A 22362-nucleotide genomic window follows, 5' to 3' on the forward strand; every position below is an offset into this window, starting at 1 on the left:
AAGGGGAGCGGAGTCTGGCAGCCCCGCCAGTGGGTGGGTGACGGCGCCTGCCAGGGAGGAGGCTCCGTGCGGAGCGGACGTTTTGGGATTAGAGCGCGCGACCCGCCCTCCTCACGCCGCCCGAGCCCCCCAAGCTCACACCTCAAACCTGCTCTTGGTCACTCCGTTCACGTCCCTCCTCATGGGGCCGGCGGGTGCGGCCCGGGCCGGGCGCTGCGGCGAGCGGAGTGCACAGACCGGGGGCCCAGGACAGGCCCGGGAGTTCCGGGACGGGGACTGGGCGCCGGAGGGGTGACGCCGGGACCGTGGGACGGGAACAAGAGACCTCTCGGCTCCGGCTAGGCCTCCACCACCTCCCGCGGCGCCGGCGGCCGCAACGACTGCTCGTCGCTAGCTCGGCTCTCTCCTCAGCCTCAACTTCAACCCAAAACAAAAACACTCCCCACCTGCCAGCAACGCCGCTGCTCATTGGACAGAGCCGCCCGGGCCTCGGAGCGCCCGGGAGGGGGAGGGGCGGGAGGGGAGGAGCGCGGCGGCGGCGGCGCGAGACCACCCCTCCCCCACACGGGGCCGGCCCTGACGGCGCTCCCGGGAGCAGCCGGTGCGCGGCGGCGGCACGACCCCCTGCGCCTCCGAGGCAGACGAGCCCATCGGGAGAAGGCGAGGCAGGGAAGTGCCTGTGCGTGTGGAAAAGGGGGTCTGTGGGGCGGATGCGAGTGCGCGCGTGCTCGCGGACCAGCGAGGGAGAGTAGAGCAGTACCGCACTCTGCGCGGGGGCCCCTCTTCTGCCCCGTGTCCCCCTCTCCTCCCTCCGCGGGCAAACAGGCACGCACCTGCCTGCACAGAACCTCAGCCTCTGCCCGCGCCCGTCGCCCCTCGTCACTTGTTCCCCAGGATCCTGTAAGGCACCCGCATCCTTCCCGGCCACCCAGCTCCCTTCCCCTGTCACTCACTGTCGCCTTGAACCCAAAGTGCAGCAGGCGGTCCCTGCTCGGAGCCATTTTCCTCCTCTTCTGGATGTGTCTAGATTGGGGCAGTGCGGCTGCCGCCGCGCCTCCGCGGTTGCCGCCGCCGCCGCCTCCCCCGCCTCCCCCGCCCCAGTGCATTACATTACGGGGTGCTGCAGGGAGGCCTGGGGGGCCGGGGCCGGACGCTTGTCTCCCTGTGCATGGCTCGGGAGGGCGAGGGTGGTTGCGCTGAGCAACAGGCCAAGTGCCCGCCCTGGTCCGGGGATGGCTGCGGAGCTGCACCTGAGGCCGGGGGTCGGGGGTGCAGGGCTGGAGCCGGGCAACCCTTCCTTTGGCCGGGGTCGGGGCGCGCGTCCGTGGGGGTGGGGCGGGCGAGACCGAAGAGCCTTTGGTTTTCCTTGCTCGGCCGCCGCCGGCGCCCAATGGGCTGCAGCGCCTGCCTGTCCGCCAATCAGGGCGCTGTTTGGTGAGAGCTTCGGCCTGACGTCACTTTGGCGGGAGAAACAAGCGTGTGTGAGCGAGTAGGCGGGGGCGTTTTCCCGATGGAAACACTTCATCAGACTCCCGGGCTCCTTGTATAGAAGCTGATCTGTGTCATCATATTATATTATGTTTTAACAACTCTGGCCTTCAAGGTCTCAGAATTTATGACCGAATTTCCACGAAGGAATAACACAGGATTTTGTAGTTTTGTTGCCCCTTCTATGAGCAACAAACTACAAAATTATGTCCTAAGAGTGAACTATTAGAAACTGTATAATAAATTCCAGCACACCTGGCAGGAGCAGCAGCACTGCTAATTGTATGCTTCCAAAGCAGTTATGAGTTGGTCTTCCTCACACCCCTTTTAATTAGTGGTTTTAGCGACTGACTTGTTATGCGTCTAAGAAATTAACAAGAGCAACAAGTGCGGCAGATCTTTAAGAACAGGTATATTTTAGCTGGAGGACATATTACCCAACTCTTAAAGCACTGTACAAACTTTTTCTTTTTTTTTTTTTTTTTTTTTTTGAGACAGAGGTTCAACTCTGTCGCTTAGGCTGGAGTGCAGTGGCACGATCTCGGTTTACTGCAACCTCTGCCTCCCGGGTTCAAGCCTCCCAAGTAGCTGGGATTACAGGCGCGCCGCGCCGCACCTGGCTAAGTAGAGACGAGGTTTCGCCATGTTGGCCAGGCTGGTCAGGAACACCTGACTACAAGTGATCCGCCCGCCTCGGCCTCCCAGAGTGCTGGGATCTTTTTTCTTTTGTAGAGACGGGGTCTCCCTATGTTGCCCAGACTAGTCTGCAATTCCTGGGCCCAAGTGATCCTCCAGCCTCCTCCCAGTGCTGAGATTACAGGCCTCATGTGAGCCACCACGACCAGCGCGCCACCCCCCGGCTTTTTTTAATCCTAGAGGGGGCTTCCTAAAACCAGGGACCTAGCTTCAGAAACTCATTCTCAGGCCCACAAACCCAGGTCTGTCTTCTCCTCCTGTCCCAGGTACTTTTAATGTTTTTGCTTGACTTCAGCCAGTGGAATAAAAAAGCCTTTTCATTCTGTCTCATCTAAGAGCTGTTTTCTCCCAGCAAAAACTGATGCATTTGGTGAGTAACAATGGCAAAGGGATGGCCGGGCGCGGTGGCTCACGCCTGTAATCCCAGCACTTTGGGAGGCCAAGGCGGGCGGATCATAAGGTCAGGAGATTGAGACCATCCTGGCCAACATGGTGAAACCCCGTCTCTGCTAAAAATACAAAAATTAGCTGGGCGTGGTGGTGGGCGCCTCTAATCCCAGCTACTCGGGAGGCTGAGGCAGAATTGCTTGAACCCGGGAGGCGGAGGTTGTAGTGAGCCAAGATTGTGCCACTGCACTCCAGCCTGGGCGACACAGCGAGACTCCATCTCGAAAAAAAAAAAAATGGCAAAGGGTAGAAAAACTGGCCTACAGAGTAATAGAATGAAGACAAGTTTCACAGCTCCGTCAGTTACCAGTTGACCCATTTCAAGTAGTACTCAGGGAAGACATTTACTGTTGACTGACTCTTTAAAATTGACTGGAGTTTTGAACAAATGAAAAAAGTATTCAAAGGCTAAAATTTTATTACACACAGGCAAATTACTTTTTATCAAAGAAGTTTATTTGCATGTAAATAAACAGGTTATTTTGTAATGTTTCGGGAAAAAAATCCCACAACAGATTTCATCTACTTTCAAAAAAATGAAAAACCCCAAAGTATTTACAAAACGGCCATATGCACAGAAAACCAAATTTGAAAGATTTTTTTAAAAAAAGACCCTCCCCAGCTGCTCCTGATGTACATTTTTAAACTCAAAATTTAAAGCTCAGTTCTTATAGCTGAGCATGTTTCCCAATCTAGCTTCTGAGATGTTAAGTACTTCCTGCCCCTCCAAAACTAACTCAAGGATAGAAATGTATGGGGGGCAGGGGAGGAGGGGAGAAGGAAAAAAAAATGAGATTGCCCAAGGATTGTGAATAATGTTTCGTATACTGACATCTTTAAGTGACTCAACTGTGGATACTGTATGACTCACTGGCTCCCTGAAAGGGCTTCTGAGAATTCATGATATTGCTGCACTTAATTTTCTGATCTAGGCCTGAAGAAAGAAAATCTTTCAAGAGTCACCAACCTCAAGCCTGGTTTTGGCAATTATATCCTGCGTTGTTTGTCCCCACCACCCCACCCCCCACCCGCTAAAATACTTCTGTTTTAAGACACATTGATATTGAACCTGAAATCTTTATGTACATCAGAGCAGGTTATGACCAAGAACCCCTAATGTTAAGTCAAAAGACAGAAGAGGAATCAGGTCAAACTGAGAATACATAAGACACCAGCAGCAGAAGATAGGTAGAAGTTGACTTCATGTCCTTGCCTTCTTTTGAAACAGAAGAATGAGTACACCTAGACAGGAGGGAGGTGTCCCAGGCTTGGTTTATTCTGCCTCTTCTCCTCCACCCTGTGGAGAAATGCAGTGCTCCCTGGTTCTCAGGCAGGGTGAAGCAGTTTAGCCCCGGCTCCCTGTTAAGCAAGTTCAGATGCTGGGTCAGTGTGGGGGTGAGCCCATCGACAATTCAGGGGCTTATCCTTCATCCAGATCCTAACTCGGGATTCTTTGATCTGGGATGAAGACAGAAAGAGAGAAAAGCTTCCCAGTTTACTCATTTTGGTATTTGTTGGCCCTGCATGGGGGAGCTGAGCCCATGATACTATTCAGTACATTCCCCCTAAGATTCTCCCCACTCAGAACAAATTTTAAAAACCACATAAATTTTTTTTTTTTTCCTGCAGAAACCAACGGGATAGGATTCAAAACTAGGTGACAAACTCATGAGAAATCCAACCTGGCTGAATGTCTGAGAGGCTGCTACTGTATCAACATCACAAGATAAAGCACTCTGGTATCACCTGCCCATATCCTCCTTAGTGTCACCCAAGACATTTGACTCTGATGTGGTTAATTGATAACTTTTCTTGCTCCACTTTACAATGTTTTGTTTCCTACATCTTATTACCTTGGGACACAAAAGTGGCAGAGTTGTTGAGAGCTGATGACAATAAAAAGGAGAACACTAGAGGAAATGAGACAGGAAAGAAAGCCAAAGCTGATTTTCCAACTCTATGCTGACTCCAACCTGCAGAAAAAGCTGAATATAGAAATCTTCTTCCATATATGATGAAGTCACTCCACTTACGACATAACACACAAAGGAATCACCTGGCTTTTTTTTTTTAACCCAGAAGAGTTGTGCTGGGGACCATGCCCCATCCCGCTGATACAGATCCTGAATGGAATAATCAGGAATGGCACAGTGCAGGTGTCAATATCAAAGTAAGGCCGCAGAATTTTTGAGAGGACCCTCCAAATACTGAGAACTTCTGTTGCACTCGAAACAGTCTCCTGGATTTCTATATTTTTATGTGAAGGGCTCTTATTGATGTCCCCCAGAATCCAGACTCAGACCTATTTCTCCAAAAAGGTCCAATTGGGTTGCTACATAGTAGCAAGGGTTTATCTTCATGCTCACCTAGCATTCCAGGCCCCCATTACTTCAAAAGTGAGCTTGAAATTGTTTTAAGTGAACTATGGCTGCGGATTTTTTACTGTTTTATCTCAGGGAGCATACAGTGGAGTGATTAAAGTTTGGACTCCTTCTCCTTGTGATGAAGAGAAACAGTGAGTCCAGCTCTTAGGAATGGCATCAGTTCTCCTGCAAACAAAATGCTGGGATGCAGACTTTTGGCACATTGTGGAAGTAGGAGAACTATTAATCCTGTAATGGTTTTCATGCCACTGGGTCAGGAAGGCTGTCCTACACTAAACCTTACTGCATCTGAAAACATGTTTACATCCCAACAAGCCACCTTAGCTTTTTTTTTTTTTTTTGAAAGGAAAATGAGATTACAAGTCAATACCTCCACAGAGAGGTAACTCCTAATATTCCTATGATCTCTGAACCCTATTTAAACCCTCCTAAAATAAAAATATCATTTTGGTTTTTCTATTATATTTAACTCTAAAGGCGGGCTCTGACTAATTTGCTTGGGCTTGATGCTACAGTATTAGCACAAGCTATAAGCTCCCTACCACCATATAAGCCTTGCTCTTCGGCCTTCCATCATTTTGAACCCTAAACCTCATAGATTTAGAACGAAACACTGTATAAAAACAAACAGATAAAGGGTTAAAATATTACAAATAAATAGCTAAAATAATCTTCCCTCCCCCAGTCACTCCTAAGAAACAGACACCAAACATTACTTAAGTGTCCAAAATGACCAAAGTCCTTCATTTGCCCATGACTCAAACGGACAACTACCTCAAACAAAGTTGAACAACCTTCATGCAAATGCATCAAGGAATGTATTGCTTTTTCATTTTCTGCCCAGCCCTTCATATACATGCACTAAAATGAGTTTAAAACATGGCCTAAAAATGGAAAAAGGGAGAAGAAAATATATATGAATATTTCCCACAAAACTGTTTCCCTCCCTTCCCTCTCCCTACACCCCTCCCACCCCCCTCCCTTTCTTAAGCAAGTATTTTAACTTTCTTTCTGGCACAGGAACAAAGAAGACTTCCTGGTAACCAGAATCAAACCCTGTGGTTTCTTTAATAGGGTCTGGATATGCCTTTCTAATTCACCCAGCTTGATGTCAAAGCCATGCCATTTAGGATTCTTAACCAAATCAGACCTGTCTGACTCACCCCTTATGGTGGTTTGCCTATAAACTTATCAATAGTTTTTTTTCCTCTGGCCCTGTTTCTTTTAGGAAATAAGGTTCCTAATTCCCAATCAGGGCCACATCCATAAGATCATCATCTTCCTCCCCAATCATAAAGTCTGGGCTGAGCCTTGAGGGTCTGTCTGCAGATAAGATTGTGTTACTTGTCATAGACAAGGACTGGTCTGAAGAGATGGGTGATTTGGACCAACTCTCTGGCTTGATGCTATGAGATTTTTTCTTGTCTCGGTCTTTGTCCCGGTCTCGGTCCCTATCTTTGTCTTTTACTTTCTTCTTTTCCTTTTTGTGCTTCTTATGTTTCTCTGTGCTGTATTCTGGAAGTGGTCGGATACCATCGTCTGAGCTGGGACTATTCTGATAAGATTTCTCTGCTATGGAGGAGCCTGACTCACTTTCACTGTCCAGATTCTGGGGGGTATATGCTGGTGACTTACTATGGCTGGGAGAGCCACGCTCATGCTTTGGAGTGGAACCACTGATGAGTGGAGAGCCATAGTTTTTAGAAGAAGCCATTTGAGGCCTAAGCCCTTCTCCACTACTTTCCCCAGGTTTCTGCAAAGTCACTTTGGCTTTAATGCTAGGGGAGCCTCCATCATGCTTACTGATGATAATTTTTGCCACACCTGTGCTCCCCACATTTTTTGACTCTGAGGTCTTCTTAGAAGAATCCACTGAACTCCCGGAGGTGGAAACCTTTGATTTGTCTTTATCACTTTTCTCACGCTTGCCCTGAAACTCTCCTCCTGACATGTTATGTTTGGAGGACATAGGATGGCTGGAAGAATTTGTGCTCACCCCCATCTGGCCGTCCAGTGGGTCTTCACCCCCAGGGCCACTGGTGACAACCCCATGCTTCAGTTTATCTATGACAGCTGTCAAGGACGGCTTCTTGTTTCTGCTGGGAGATTTTCCTTTAGAACTCCCATGCTGGTTCTGAGAGGATGACATGGAAGAGCCACTTGAGGAAAAGGAGGAGGAAGATGCCGTACAGGAATTAGATGATGGGGGAGTTTTCTGGGACAACGAGCCTGAGGATCCTAACCCTGAAGATGACTTCATGCCAGAGCTTGAACTAGTTCCAGACATATGAGAACCACCAGAACCTGAACTGATAGGGGACTTGGCTTTAGAGGATGGAGGAGTTCCAGGAACAGGCTTCATTGGAGAGGCAAGCTTGTCAGAGCCTCCAGGTGGCCTTGAATGAGAAGGGGATATGTTTGGTTTACTTAAAGAAGGATTCATAAGTGATGATGGCTTTCCTTGAGGTTTCATCTTGGTGCTGCTAGAGCCACTGCTCAGTCCATGCTTGGTTATGGGAGAGGAGCCTGGCTTCCCCCCAGACTGGGATGAATTTTTGGACTGGCTAGATCCAGAAGACCCCTGGCTAGAATACATACTGCTACTTAACTTGGAACTTGATGAACCTTCTGATTTACTGCTTTTCATCTTCCCTGAGGTGGAAGCAGATGAGGAAGAGGAGGAAGAATGGCTATGGTGGCTTTTGCTGCCTGAGGAAGACACAGAACCACTGCTGGTATACTGACTGTGAGAGGAAGGCTTGCCCACCATCACTGTTCCCTTAGGAATCTGAATAGTGATTTTGGGAATGGGTGGTGTGGCAACACCTGGGGGAGTCTGAGATCTTCCTGCACTGCCTGGCGATTTAGATCCACCTGTACTGGTAGGTGGGGTAAAAGGTCTGTTAGAAGAACTATGAGATGGAGACTTTCCCTCAGTGTCTGCCTTCTTCCGCTTTGGAGGCTTATCTTTGCTTTTCCCATCATTAGAAGGGGTCCGACTGCGCTTCCCTGGTTTGCTGTCTAATCCGGGCCCCGAGAGAGTACTATTACTGGTGCCATTGCCTTCCTTTACCCTCTTTTGAGTCTTTTCTTTCCCTAAGTCCCCAGTGGTCAGTAAAGGACCCTGACTACCACTGTGATGCTCCATAAGATCTGCAGGAGCTAAAGCTTTGCCGGCTACTGAAATAATACTGAAATCAACTGTGTCGGCTTGGTTATTGCCCTTAAACTTGGTCTCCCCATTATCACCTCCAAGCATTGGCACCCCCAAAGTATTTAGTGCCTGAGATGCAAATCCTTTGAAATCATCATTATCCCCACTTTGGCTGCTTTCATCAAAATATTCTTCTCCAAAACCACTTTGGCTCTGGCTGTTCAATAAATCAGGATTGAAATCTACTCCATCATGAAAAAAATGATTGGTAGGAGAGTCACTACTGGGGCTTCCAGCAGCATCTGCAATAAGATCAGCTGGATCAGTGTATGGATTTTCATTATTGTTAGTTTGAAAGACATCAGAGTCAAACAGGGTACTCTGAGAATGCCCAGAGCTTGAAGAATCTCGAAGAGGGGTGCCAATGGCTGGGCAATCATCACTAGTGCTGGGAAGTTTAGAAGCTTCTTCTGCAATGTCTGAAAGGATGTCAGTTACATCTGGGCCAATGCTGTCTGAACTGGATAGTCGGACCATCCTTTGAATACTGGGTTGGGGGTGAGGTACTGGTTGTGGGTAAGTTGTTGGGGGAGTGCTACACTGGCTTGGAGCTGGAGTGATGTGTGGCGTATCCAGCGTGTCAGCTGTCATGTTGACATCAAAGATAGGGTTCTGTGAGTCAACATCCATTGAAAATAGCTCCCTCTGAAAGTCATCTTCAGTCTGGTGCTTTGGTTTCTCAGGTGGTAATCTTGATGACTTCTTTTTCTTGGTCTTGTTGCTCCCCGAGCATATTTCCATGCGGGGTGAGCCGGAAGAGGAGTTCTGCCTTTCTAAAGGGCTGCTTCCATAAAGGGTTGAGAAATCCTGGGCAGGATTATCTTTAAGAAGGTTCATGAGCATCGGGTGGTTCTTGGTGTTGCCGGCCATCGAAGAGACAGGTGGCGGCGTGTGATGAGGAGGGGTCGGACTCGAGCCAATGGTAGACCCCCCGTTCCCTGTGATTTGCAACAAACTGGTAAGAATTGGGTTCTGAGACACCTTGCTGAAGTCCTCCCCATGGCCCACCGACTCATGCCGATCTTTGATGCTCATGCTCATATTAAACAAGGTGGTAATGGGACCCCCCGGAAAGGTGTTGGTTGGTGTAGTGGTACCACTCATTGGGTTGTTGCCTGTGGTCATGCCATACCCTGGGCTGCTAGCCGGGGGCAGGTTCTTTTTCACCATGTCTTCAACTGTCTCTGCAATGAGGGACAGTGCTGGGGTGTCGGCTTGAATGGTTTCAGCTTTCCTCCGAATAGCCCTCATCGTCACAGGGATGGACATACATCTGCAAAATAAAGAAGAAAACAAAGTTAACATTGCAATAGCTGCTGAATGAGACCTGAGATTTAGATATAACATCAGAGTTTTGCAGTAAGCAGTTTTCAGGTAGGGCAAATAATCTGTAAGACAAAAATAGTTCTATCAAATACCAGAGCTTTGGGTAAATACATTCTAAAAATCTAACCCAACATAAAATTGTCAACCTCTTATGAATCACACAACAAAAGCAAACTATAAACAAGAGTCCAAATAATTGAATTTCAAACTTAACTAAAAGAAAATTGGTAATAATGGAACTCAGTAAGAAAATGCCTCCTTAGGGGCCGGGCACAGTGGCTCACGCCTGTAATCCCAGCACTTTGGGAGGCCAAGGCGGCTGGAACATGAGGTCAGGAGATCGACACCATCCTGGCCAACATGGTGAAACCCCGTCTCTACTAAAAATACAAAAATTAGCTGGGCGTGGTGGCGCGTGCCTGTAATCCCAGCTACTCGGGAGGTTGAGGCAGGAGAATTGCTTGAACAAGGGAGGCGGAGGTTGCATTGCACTGAGATCACACCACTGCACTCCAGCTTGGCAACAGAGTGAGACTCCGTCTCAAAAAAAAAAATGCCTCCTTAGGTCGGGCGCGGTGGCTCACTCCTGCAATCCCAGCACTTTGGAAGGCCGAGGAGGGTGGATCACTTCGGGTCAGGAGTTTGAGACCAGCCTGGCCAGCGGGGTGAAACCCTGTCTCTACTAAAAATACAAAAAATTAGCCAGCCGTGGCGGTGCACAGCTGTAATCCCAGCTACTCAGGAAGGGTAGACAGGAGAATCACTTGAACCCAGGAGGCAGAGATCGCAGCGAGCCAAGATCGTCCCATTGCACGCCAGCCTTGGTGACAGTGCAAGACTTCATTTCAAAGGAAAAAAGAAAATGTCGTCCTCTGGGGGGCTTCATATGGTAATTACAGGGATACATAATTTATTTTAATTAAGGAACCATTAGAAAAATCTCCGCCGGTCAGAGTGGCTCACGCCTGTAATCCCAGCACTTTGGGAGGCCGAGGCGGGTGGATCACAGGGTCAGGAGTTTTGAGACCAGCCTGGCCAACATAGTGAAACCCCATCTCTACTAAAAAAAAGAAAAAATACAAAAAATTAGCTGGGCATGGTGGCAGGTGCCTGTAATCCCAACTACTTGGGAGGCTGAGGCAGAATTGCTTGAACCCGGGAAGCAGAGGTTGCAGTGAGCTGAGATTGTGCCATGGCACTCCAGCCCAGGTGACAGTACAAGACTCCATCTCAAAAAAAAAAAAAAGAAAAGAAAAATCTCTTGACCCATTAAGTACTAAACCTTAATGACTTAGATCATCCCAAACCTACACTATTATAAAAAGTGCTATTTCTGTTATAAATCTTGTTTATTTTAAAGCAAAGCACTTTTTATTTTCCAGATAAATTTATATTCATAAACCTCAGTTTGCAAACGTTTTGCTCTAGAACATATGTCAGCAAATTTTTTTTTCTTTTTTTTTTTTTTTTTGAGACGGAGTTTTGCTCTTGTTGCCCAGGCTGGAGTGCAATGGCGCGATCTTGGCTCACTGCAACCTCCACCTCCCAGGTTCAAGTGATTCTCCTGCCTCAGCCTCTCGAGTAGCTGGGATTACAGCCATGCGCCATCACGCCCAGCTAATTCTGTATTTTTAGTAGAGACAGGGTTTCTCCATGTCAGTCAGGCTGGTCTCGAACTCCTGACCTCAGGCGATCCACCCACCTCCCAAAGTGCTGGGATTATAGGCGTGAGCCACCACACCCAGCCAGCAAATTTTTCTTTTTTTTTTTTTTTTTTTCTTTGAGACAGAGTCTCGCTCTGTTATCCAGGCTGGAGTGCAGTGGCATGATCTTGGCTTACCGCAACTTCCGCCTCCCAGGTTCAAGCAATTCTCTGCCTCAGCCTCCCAAGTAGCTGGGATTACAGAAGCCCGCCACCACGCCCAGCTAATTTTTGTATTTTTAGTAGAGATGGGGTTTCACCATCTTGGCCAGGCTGGTCTTGAACTCCTGACCTCGTGATTTACCCGCCTCAGCCTCCCAAAGTGCTAGGATTACAGGGGTGACCCCCGCACCCGGCCGCAAATTTTTCTTATAAGGCCATATAGTAATCCGTTAGGCTTTGTAGGTCTTGTTTCCTGTTCACCTACTCTGCAATATTAACTAGAAATCTGCCACAGACATGTAAATGAACAGCAGTGTTCCAATAAAATTTATTTACAAAAATAGGCTGCCAGACCCAGCTGTAGAAAAATCTCAAAAAATTACATATTAATGGTTCTGGGATGCATACTGGCTTAACTATCACGTAACAATTAAGTTGGCTTTTTGTTTGTTTTGAGATGGCATCTTGCTCTGTCTACCAGGCTGGAGTGGAGTGGCACAATCTCGGCTCACTGCAGCCTCCGCCTCCCAGGTTCAAGCAATTCTCCCGCCTCAGCCTCCTGAGTAGCTGGGATTATAGGCACCTGCCACCACACCTGGCTAATTTTTATATTTTTATTTATTTAGTTAGTTTGTTTGTTTTGAGACAGAATCTCACTCTATCACCCAGGCTAAAGAACAGTGGCGCAATCTTGGCTCACCGCAACCTCCGATTCCCAGGTTCAAGTGATTCTCCTGCCTCAGCCTCTCAAGTAGCTAGAATGACAGACGGATACCACCATGCTCGGTTAATTTTCGTATTTTTATAGAGATGACATCTCAACATGTTGGCCAGGCTGGTCTCGAACTCCTGACCTCAAGTAATCTGCCCGCCTTGGCCTCCCAAAGTGCTGGATTACAGGCATGCACTGCCACGCCCAGCCTAACATTTAAGTTGTGAAATCTGCTCAGGCAGACACAGTGGCTCACACCTGCAGTACCAGCTACTCAGGAGGTCTAGGTGGAAGGATAACCTGAACCTCGGAGGTCAACACTTCAGTGAGCCGTCATCACACCACTGCACTCCAGCCTGGGTAACAGAGTGAGACTCTTGTCTCAAAATAAAAAAATAAAAGAATAAAAAGATAAAAATGTCACATCTATGAAGAATTGGCACACAGGATAGGTAAGAAAAATATCTGTATTTTATTATGGCTTTCTCCTGCCTTAAAGTACCATAATTCCAGGCCTGAAGTTACCTACTTTACTTCCCATTACTCTCATAGTAATATCATTAAAAAAAAAAAAAAAAAAAAAAAAACAAAGCTGGCTGTGTGCAGTGGCTCACGCCTGTAATCCCAGAACTTTGGGAGGCCAAGGCAGGCAGATCACCTGAGGTCAGGAGTTCGAGACCAGCCTGGCCAACATGGTGAAACCCCGTCTCTACTAAAAATACAAAAATGAGTCAGGTGTGGTAGCACATGCCTGTAATCCTAGCTACTCAGGAGGGTGAGGCAGGAGAATCACTTGAACCCGGGAGGCAGAGGTTGCAGTGAGCCAAGATTGTACCACTGTACAATCTGGGCATCAGAGCAAGACTCCATCTCAAAAAAAAAAAACAAAGCTTAGATTACTTTGAATCCGAAAGCAGAGAAGGGTGAAATCAAAGCAATAACTAAATTGCTCCTTTATTTGAAATTCATGCTAATTCTGAAAACAACATTTTTTTTTTTTTTTGAGACAGAGTCTCACTCTGTTGCCCAGGCTGGAGTACAGTGGCATGATCTCGGCTCACTGCAAGCTCCACCTCCCGGGATCATGCCATTCTCCTGCCTCAGCCTCCCTAGTAGCTGGGACTACAGGCGCCCGCCACCATGCCGGGCTAATTTTTTGTATTTTTAATAGAGACGGGGTTTCACTGTGTTAGCCAGGATGGTCTCAATCTCCTGACCTCGTGATCCACCCGCCTTCACCTCCCAAAGTGCTGGGATTACAGGCGTGAGCCACCAGGCCCGGCCTTTTTTTTTTTTTTTTTTTTTTTTTTTTTTTTTTTTTTTTACAACAAAAACAAAAACACGGAGTCTTGCTCTGTCGTCAGGCTGGAGTGCAATGGCGCAATCTTGGCTCACTGCAACCTCCACCTCCCAGGTTCAAGTTATTCTTCTGCATCAGCCTCCCGAGTAGCTGGTACTACATGTGCCCGCCATCGCGCCTGACTAATTTTTGTATTTTTAGTAGAGATGGGGGTTCACCATGTTAGCCAGAATGGTCTCAATCTTCTGACCTCGTGATCCGCCTGCCTCGGCCTCCCAAAGTGTGGGGATTACAGGCGTGAGCCACCGCGCCCTACTCAACAACATTCTTTATACATCTCTAAATGGGACTCAGATGAAAAAGGGCCAAGGCTACCTTTGAACAACTTTGGCAATGAAGTCATCTGTGCAGATCAGTGCATCCGACAGCCCTTTGTAGAGTTTACAGCTCACATGTGTTGAGTCCTGCACATCCATTACCACTGAAAGACAAAATACATAGGAAATTGTTTTAGATTTAGCTTCTGACTTTTCCAAAAAAGACATAGGGACCAAACCGCTCCATGAGAGGTGTTAGCCACCCACACAACTCACCACACACCAGGGAGTCATTCACAGGGTGCTGAAAAGATACGCTGAAACGAGACTCTGAGAGAGGACACACTTCAAATTGGAGAAGCCCAGGAGAATCTAAAAGGCAAAGAGAAAGATCATAAAACAACCAAATATAAGACTTCACACAGGCTGGGCACGGTGGCTCACGCCTGTAATCCCAGCAGTTTGGGAGGCCAAGGCAGGTGGATTACCTGAGGTCAGGAGTTCAAGACCAGCCTGGCCAACATGGCGAAACCCCAACTCCACTAAAAAATAAAAAAAAGAGGCCGGATGCAGTGGCTCAGGCCTGTAATCCCAGAACTTTGAGAGGCTGAGGTGGGCTCATCACCTGAGGTCAGGAGTTCGAGACAAGCCTGACCAACATGGACAAACCCCATCTCTACTAAAAATACAAAATACAAAATTAGTCGGGCGTGGTGGCACATGCCTGTAATCCCAGCTACTCGGGAGGCTGAGGCAGGAGAATCACTTGAACCTAGGAGGCGGAGGTTGTAGTGAGCTGAGATCGTGCCACTGCACTCCAGCCTGGGCAAGAGTAAGACTCCATCTCAAAAAAAAAAAAAAAAAAAAAAAAAATTAGCCGGGTGTGGTGGCGCACACCTGTAATCCTAGCTACTCAGAGGGCTGAGACAGGAGAATCGTTTCAACCTGGGAGGCAAGGGTTGCAGTGAGCCGAGATCATGTCACTGAACCCCAGCCTGGGAAACAGAGCAACACTCTGTCTCAAAAAAAAAAAAAAAAGACTTCACACAAATAACATTCCTTAAATGTACAGACTGAAATTCTCTCTCCCTCCTTGGAAACTAAATCGCACACTTTTTTCACATACAAAACCTACTATATGTCATCCACAGATGACAGAAGGAATCAGATTCCAAGGAACCTGCCAGTTTGTTATAAATTTCTCCAGAACAAAAGTAGCTAGACTTTCAATTTTCCAAGATGAAGAAACTTAATCCCTAAAATGTAAAAGTGAATTCTGAAAATAAAAGTGGCCGAGTGTCTCATTCTACTTGATAAGCAGATATCCAGAACCACTGCCATAAACTCTGCTTTCTATCAAGTGTTTGCAGCTGTTAGATGTGCAGCCCATAGTTTGGCAAGCAGAGATATAGAGGCTATAATCTAAAATAATGTATTTATTCCACATATATCTAGCCATCATCATATGTTCTTATGCCAGATGTGCTAGCAGCCTAGACACAAGGATCATATACTTTCTTTGTAAAAAGCATGCCTCTCTATAGGATTAGCTCCATAACTGCCTTATGAAAACTCATTTTTAAATGCCCTAAAGCTATCTGGAGACTTCTTAAGGCATTTTAACACATGAAACAGAAGTGCCACAACTTTGAACATATATGCTCTATGTTATTACTCCAACTACTAAAAATTTCTCATTTCTAAAGCAATTTTTATTTCCATGAGAAGAATCTCCTGGCCCAGCACAGTGGCTCATGCCTGTAATCCCAACACTTTGGGACACTGAGGTGGGAGGAATGCCTGAGGCCAGGAGCTCAAGACTATCCTATACAACATGGCAAGACACCATCTCTACAAAAAAAATGTTGCTGTATAAATATGTACACTGAAATAAAAAGTATAATATAAATTTCTTTAAAATTTGACTAGATGTAGAGGTGCATGCCTATAGTCCAGCGACTTGAGGAGCCTGAGGGAAGAGTATCACTTGAGCCCAGGAGTTTGAGGCCAAAGTGAACTATGACTGTACCACTGCTTTCCAATCTCGATAACAGAGCAAGACCCTGTATCAAGAAAAAAAAGTCCAGGCATGGTGGCTCACGCATGTAATCCCAGCACTTTGGGAGGCCGAGGCAGGCAGACCACTGAGGTCACGAGTTCAAAACCAGCCTGGCCAACTCGACGAAACCCCGTCTCTGGTAAAACTACAAAGATTAGCCTGGCATGGTGGTGGATACTTGTAATCCGAGCTACTTGGGAGGCTGAAGCAAGAGAATTGCTTGAACCCAGGAGGCAAAGGTTGCAGTGAGTGAAGATCACACCACTGCACTCCAGCCTGGGTGACCAAGCAAGACTCCGTCTCAAAAAAAAAAACAAAAAGGCCAGGCGTGGTGGCTCATGCCTGTAATCCCAGCACTCTGGGAGGCTCAGGCGGGCAGATCACGAGGTCAGGAGATCGAGACCATCCTGGCCAACACGGTGACACCCCGTTTCTACTAAAAATACAAAAAAATTAGCCGGGCGTGATGGCGGGTGCCTGTAGTCCCAGCTACTCGGGAGGCTGAGGCAGGAGAATGACGTGAACTCAGGAGGCAGAGCTTGCAGTGAGCCGAAATTGCGCCACTGCACTCCAGCCTGGGCGACAGAGCGAGACTCCGTCTCAAAAAACAAACAAAAAATAAATAAATAAAAATAAAAGAGATCTGATTTGCCTTCCCTATTTCTTATTGTCTATCACTGGCACTGACACATATCTATCAACAGAGCGCTTCTGACTTAAGATTTTTAAAATTAACTATGGTTAGCTAGAACAGCCAAAATTTACAGCAAAGCTTCTAATAGCCAACTGTCTTTGAAAATCATCAGCATTTACGCCGGGTGCCATGGCTCACGCCTGTAATCCCAGCACTTTGGGAGGCCTAGGAGGGTGGATCACGAGGTCAGGAGTTCGAGACCAGCCTGGCCATGATGGTGAAACCCCATCTCTACTAAAAAAAATTTAAACAATTAGCCAGAGGCTGACGCAGGAGAATCGCTTGAACCTGGGAGGCGGAGGTTGCAGTGGGCCAAGATCATGCCACTGCACTCCAGCCTGGGGAACAGAGTGAGACTCCGTCTCAAAAAAAAAAAAAAAAAAAAAAAAATTCATCAGCATTCCAGAATCCTGAGAGAAAAAAGAGCTAAACCTTCTTAAAGCTGTAAGATTAAGTTCTCCAAACAATGGGGAGAGAAAACATACTCAGAACTAAACCTGGGAAGCACTCTCCTAACAACCTAAAATTTAACCTAAAACTGGCCAAGCACGGTGGCACCTATTATCCCAGCACCTTGGGAGGCCTAGTCAAGAGGATCGCTTCAGCCCAGGAGTTACAGACGAACATGGGCAACATAGAGAGACCCTGTCTCTACAGAAAAAATTAGCCAGGCTTGGTGGTACATGCCTATAGCCCCACCTACTTGGGAGGCTAAGGCAGGAGGATCGCTTGAGCCAAGGAGGTAGAGGCAGCAGAAAGCTGTTATCATGCCACTGTGGTTCAGTCTGGGCAACAGAGTGAGACCCTGTCTCAAAAAAAAAAAAGCCTCTCTCACTACAGCATTCCAAGTTCTACCTTATGTATATCTGCTACAGGGTACAGCCCCTAAAATACCCAGTTACATTACTATGTTCAGAAAAAGAGTTAAGAACATTGCAAAAAGCAGTGGTCTCCAAATGCTAGTCTACAGACTGGTTCCATCAAAATGATTTGTGGAGTTTAGATTCCCAACTCTTCCCACTGAGATTATCATTCAGTTCATCTTCGTGTGGAAACACAGCATCTGTGATTTTTTTTTTTTTTTTGAGAGGGAGTCTCATTCTGTCACCCACACTGGAGTACAGTGGCATGATCTAAGCTCAGTGCAACCTCCGCCTCCTGGGTTCAAGTGATTCTCCTGCCTAAGACTCCCAAGTAGCTGGGACTACAGGTGTATACCACCACACCCAGCTAATTTTTGTATTTTTAGTAGAGACTGGGTTTCACTAGTTGGCCAGGATGGTCTCAATCTCTTGACCTTGTGATCTGCCCACCTCGGCCTCCCAAAGTGCTGGGATTACAGGCACAAACCACTGCACTCAGCCTGGTGTTTTGTTTTTGATTCAGGGTCTTACTGTGTTACCCAGGTTGGAGTGCAGTGGTGCAATCTGAGCTCACTGCAATCTCTGCCTCCCAGGCTCAAGCGACAATCCTCCTGCCTCAGGATCCCGAGTAGCTGGGACCACAGGCGCACACCACCACAACTGGCTACTTTTTTCTAGAGATGGGGTTTTGCCATGTTCCTCAGACCGATCTCAAATCATGGGCTCAAGTGATTTGCCCACCTTGGCCTCCCAAAGTGCTGGGATTACAGGCGTGAGCCACCACACCTGGCCATCATCTGTAGTGTTAAAAGCTCCACATGTTTGAATTTTTTTTTTTTTTTGAGACAGAGTCTTGCTCTGTCACCCAGGCTGGAGTGCAATGGCATGATCTAAGCTCACTGCAACCCCCGCCTCCCGGGTTCAAGCGATTCTCCTTCCTCAGCCTCCCAAGTAGGTGGGACTACAGTCGTGCACCACCACGTGCAGCTAATTTGCTTGATTTTTATGCCAAATATGAAAAAAAAAAAACTTTTTTTAAGTTCTACAGGTGATTCTGATGGGCCACCAATTAAAGAACCACTGGAGAAGTAAGTTTCCATCTTCCAGTAAGCATATCAAAGGAAAGGCAGTACCTTCTTTCAGAATAGTTCTTTTGACACAGCTTCCAATGAGGGTGTTATAGGCCACTTGGTGTCTGATCAGATTTAGGATAAGAGGAACTCGGCCAGGGTGCTGAAAGGTGATTTTGCTAACAAGGGTTCCCTGTAGACTTCGGCCATCTGGAAGAGGAGCATCCTTGTTGAGGAAATAGCAGTGCTGCTGACCAGGAAGAGCCTGGGCAAAAAGAACAGTTAACGAGTGCTATTTAGTTACCTATTGTATTCCAACCACAAAGTATCCTGAAAAAACCTACTACTCAAAAAAGTGCAGAAAAGTCTCCACAGTGAATGTTTTCATCAGCTGATATTATAAATGTCAATCAATTACTAATTAGGCTGAAAAGATGTCTTTTTAGTAAATGCACTATGCTAGTGATTTCCTAACCTAGCTAACATAAAAACTACCTCAGAAATCTGTATTAAAGAGGTTCCTAAACCATAAATGCAAAATCTCTTTTTTTTTTTTTTTTTTTTGAGACAGAGTCTCCCTCTGTTGCCCAGGCTGGAGTGCAGTGGTGCGATCTCGGCTCACTGCAAGCTCCGCCTCCCGAGTTCATGCCATTCTCCTGCCTCAGCCTCCTGAGTAGCTGCGACTATAGGCACCCGCCACCACGCCCGGCTAATTTTTTTTGTATTTTTAGTAGAGACAGTGTTTCACTGTGTTAGCCAGGATTGTCTCCATCTCCTGACTTCGTGATCCACCCACCTGGGCCTCCCAAAGTGCTGGGATTACAGGAATAAACAACCACGCCCGGCTGCAAATTCTCTATTTTTAATAAAACACCTATATAATAATAATGCAGCCAGAATTTGGTAACCACTACTTTAGTCTATTGTAAAAGATTCAGATAAATACAAGTCCAGATGAGGTTTTGGAACGTTCCCTTATTATTATTATTATTACTTTTGAGACAGGGTTTCACTCCCATTACCCAGGATGGAGTACAATTGTGCAATCTTGGCTCATTGCAATCTCTACCTCCCAGGATGAAGCCCCTCAGCTTCCCGAGCAGCTGAGACTACAGGCATGAACAACCACATGTGCCTATTTTTTTTTTTTTTTTTTTTTGAGACAGAGTCTTGCTCTTGTAGCTCAGGCTGGAGTGCAGTGGCACGATCTCTGCTCGCTGCAAGCTCCACCTCCCGGGTTCACGCCATTCTCCTGCCTCAGCCTCCCAAGTAGCTGGGACTACAGGCGCCCGCCACCACACCCAGCTAATTTTTTGTGTTTTTTAGTAGTGACGGGGTTTCACCATGTTGGCCAGGATGGTCTCGATCTCCTGACCTCATGATCTGCCCGCCTCGGCCTCCCAAAGTGCTAGGATTACAGGCGTGAGCCACCGCTCCCGGCCACATCAGCCTAATTTTTGTATTTTTTTTTTGTAGAGACAGGATTTTGCCGGAGGATGAGGCAGAAGAATCGCTTGAACCTGGGAGGCAGAGGTTGCAGTCAGCCGAGATCGTGCCACTGCACTCCAGCCTGGGCACCAAGAGCAAAAAAAAAAAAAAGAAAAAAGAAAAGAAAAGGACAGGCAAGGTGGCTTGCGCCTGTAATCCCAGCACTTTGGGAGGCGGAGTAGGGTGGATCTCAAGGTCAAGAGATAAAGACCAATCTGGCCAACATGGTAAAACCCCGTCTCTACTAAAAATACAAAAATTATCTGGGCATGGTGGTGCACACCTACAGTCCCAGCTACTCAGGAGGCTGAGGCAGGAGAATCACTTGAACCTGGGAGGCGGAGGTTGCAGTGAGCCGAGATCGCGCCACTGCACTCCAGCCTGGCAACAGAGCTAGCTAGACTCCATCTCAAAAAATAAAAAAATAAAAAAGAGAGGATTTTGCCACGTTGCCCAGGCTGGTATTGAACTCCTGAGCTCAAGTGATCTGCCTTGCCTTGGCCTCCCAAAGTGCTGGGATTACAGGTGTGAGTCACTGTGCCCAGCCTCTTAATTACTGCTTCCAGCATTTTCCTCTCTGTAAGTACTTTCAGGATCTTTCCAGATTCTAAGCTCATGGCACTTGAAAGAATTAAACAGTAAGAATTTATAACACCTAATTATGATATTCTAAAAGTTCAAAATACCATTAAGAGTCTGTCACCCCGCCAGGCAAGGTGGCTCACGCCTGCAATCCTAGCACTTTGGGAGGCCGAGGCGGGCGGATCACGAGGTCAGGAGATCGAGACCATCCTGGCTAACATGGTGAAATCCCGTCTCTACTAAAAATACAAAAAATTAGCCAGGCATGGTGGCAGGCGCCTGTAGTCCCAGCTACTCAGGAGGCTGAGGCAGGAGAATGGCATGAACCCGGGAGGTGGAGTTTGCAGTGAGCTGAGATCTCACCACTGCACTCCAGCCTGGGCGACACAGCAAGACTCCGTCTCAAAAAAAAAAAAAAAAGTCTATCACCCAAAATTTCTTTTTCTTTTTTATTTTTTTGAGACGGAGTCTTGCTCTGTTGCCAGGCTGAAGCGCAGTGGTGCGATCTTGGCTCACTGCAACCTTCGTCTCCCGGGTTCAAGCAATTCTCCTGCCTCAGCCTCCCGAGTAGCTGGGACTACAGGTGCATGACACCACACCCAGCTAATTTTTGTATTTTTTTAGTAGAGATGGGGTTTCACCCTGTTGGCCAGGATGCTCTCGATCTCTTGACCTCGTGATCCACCTGCCTCGGCCTCCCAAAGTGCTGCTGGGATTAGACATGTGAAACACCACGCCCAGCCTCGTTTTTTTTTTTTTTTTTTTTTTTTGAGACGGAATTTCGCTCTTGTTGCCCAGGCTGGAGTGCAGTGGCGCAATCTTGGCTCACTGCAACCTCTGCCTCCCGGGTTAAGTGATTCTCCTGCCTCAGCCTCCCAAGTAGCTGGGATTACAGGCATGTTCCACCACACCCAGCTAATTTTTATATTTTTAGTAGAGACGGGGTTTCACCATGTTATCCAGGCTGGTCTCAAACTCCTGATCTCTAGTGACCACCCGCCTTGGCCTCCCAAATTCCTGGGATTACAGGTGTGAGCCACTGCACCTGGCCAATCACCCAAAATTTCAACAAAGAACTGTACATTGTTGTTTCCTAATGGAAGCTCATGCCCTTTTACTTCAATACATTTCCGAGATTTCTTTTTTTTTTTTTTTTTTTTGAGACAGAGTCTCGCTCTGTCACCCAGGCTGGAGCACAATGGCACAATCTTGTCTCACTGCAACCTCTGCCTCCCAGATTCAAGCCATTCTCCTCCCTCAGCCTCCCGAGTAGCTGGGATTACAGGCACCCGCCACCACACACGGCTAATTTTTTGTATTTTTAGTAGAGACAGGGTTTCCCTATGTTGGCCAGGCTGGTCTCGAACTCCTGACCTCACGATCCGCCTGCCTTGGCCTCCTAAAGTGCGGGGATTACAGGTGTGAGCCACCGCGCCCAGCCCATTTCTGAGATTTCTGTAATTTCCTGCCTTACTAAAGAAATAGGACATGATCCAGCAGTCTTGAAGAAACTTATCTGACCTCAATAATGCTATAAAGGAAGATTATGATCTTGGGTCCAAACATAACCTACAACATTCTAGCTCCCTAGGGCTTTACTTACAGCATAAAATCTCATGTTGTGATTCAAAGGTATGGGGTCAGGGTCCTTTGATAGCTCAAACTGAGTGATCAGTTCATACAGGGGTGCATAAGTTGGTTGAGTTTCAAACAATGGAATTCCTGGAAAAACAAGAATCAATATAATGATCATGTTAAGATGAAAACACTGACAGCTCAGTTTCCCCTTGATATCTACATTCATTCACCCAAAAGAGTACTTACTAAGCATTTACTAGTACAAAGCACTATAACATCT

At 47.1% G+C, this 22362-nt stretch overlaps 2 protein-coding genes across 9 annotated transcripts in view, besides 5 other annotated features; both read right to left on the reverse strand.

Annotated features, from left to right (window-relative positions):
- The window catches only part of FBXL20 (F-box and leucine rich repeat protein 20), a 149894-nt gene extending 148557 nt beyond the window's left edge, over positions 1 to 1337 (reverse strand). For 2 of the 5 annotated variants that reach the window (NM_001370209.3, NM_001370208.3), the window contains exon 1: positions 954 to 1337. In NM_001370209.3, the coding sequence (NP_001357138.2) occupies positions 954 to 1001 (48 nt within the window). In that variant the 5' untranslated portion in view covers positions 1002 to 1337. Of the gene's footprint in view, positions 1 to 141; positions 408 to 953 lie in introns of those variants that run through there. The other 3 variants (NM_001184906.2, NM_032875.3, XM_047436952.1) reach the window with 2 other exon arrangements.
- Positions 17 to 446: a silencer, noted in NCBI's record as "silent region_8453". NCBI's record gives its function as "represses an Ori minimal core promoter by ATAC-STARR-seq in GM12878 lymphoblastoid cells {active_cell/tissue: GM12878}" and the evidence as "EXISTENCE:reporter gene assay evidence [ECO:0000049][PMID:35858748]".
- Positions 477 to 676: a silencer, noted in NCBI's record as "silent region_8454". NCBI's record gives its function as "represses an Ori minimal core promoter by ATAC-STARR-seq in GM12878 lymphoblastoid cells {active_cell/tissue: GM12878}" and the evidence as "EXISTENCE:reporter gene assay evidence [ECO:0000049][PMID:35858748]".
- Positions 707 to 786: a silencer, noted in NCBI's record as "silent region_8455". NCBI's record gives its function as "represses an Ori minimal core promoter by ATAC-STARR-seq in GM12878 lymphoblastoid cells {active_cell/tissue: GM12878}" and the evidence as "EXISTENCE:reporter gene assay evidence [ECO:0000049][PMID:35858748]".
- Positions 1037 to 1426: a silencer, noted in NCBI's record as "silent region_8456". NCBI's record gives its function as "represses an Ori minimal core promoter by ATAC-STARR-seq in GM12878 lymphoblastoid cells {active_cell/tissue: GM12878}" and the evidence as "EXISTENCE:reporter gene assay evidence [ECO:0000049][PMID:35858748]".
- Positions 1392 to 1556: a silencer, noted in NCBI's record as "fragment chr17:37558864-37559028 (GRCh37/hg19 assembly coordinates)". NCBI's record gives its function as "represses an EF-1alpha promoter that drives an FKBP-Casp9 reporter gene in an ReSE screen in HepG2 liver carcinoma cells {active_cell/tissue: HepG2}" and the evidence as "EXISTENCE:reporter gene assay evidence [ECO:0000049][PMID:32094911]".
- Positions 3066 to 22362, reverse strand: part of MED1 (mediator complex subunit 1) — a 46979-nt gene continuing 27682 nt past the window's right edge. For 3 of the 4 annotated variants that reach the window (NM_004774.4, XM_047436314.1, XM_047436315.1), the window contains 5 exons: positions 22108 to 22226; positions 18498 to 18699; positions 14025 to 14120; positions 13807 to 13912; positions 3066 to 9502 (listed from right to left, as the gene is read on the reverse strand). In NM_004774.4, coding sequence (NP_004765.2) covers positions 6256 to 9502; positions 13807 to 13912; positions 14025 to 14120; positions 18498 to 18699; positions 22108 to 22226 — 3770 coding nt within the window. In that variant the 3' untranslated portion in view covers positions 3066 to 6255. The remainder of the gene's footprint in view (positions 9503 to 13806; positions 13913 to 14024; positions 14121 to 18497; positions 18700 to 22107; positions 22227 to 22362) is intronic. The other variant, XM_006721957.3, reaches the window with a different exon arrangement.

The sequence above is a fragment of the Homo sapiens genome, chromosome 17 (genome assembly GCF_000001405.40).
Source record: "Homo sapiens chromosome 17, GRCh38.p14 Primary Assembly".
Taxonomy (NCBI): Eukaryota; Metazoa; Chordata; class Mammalia; order Primates; family Hominidae; genus Homo; species Homo sapiens.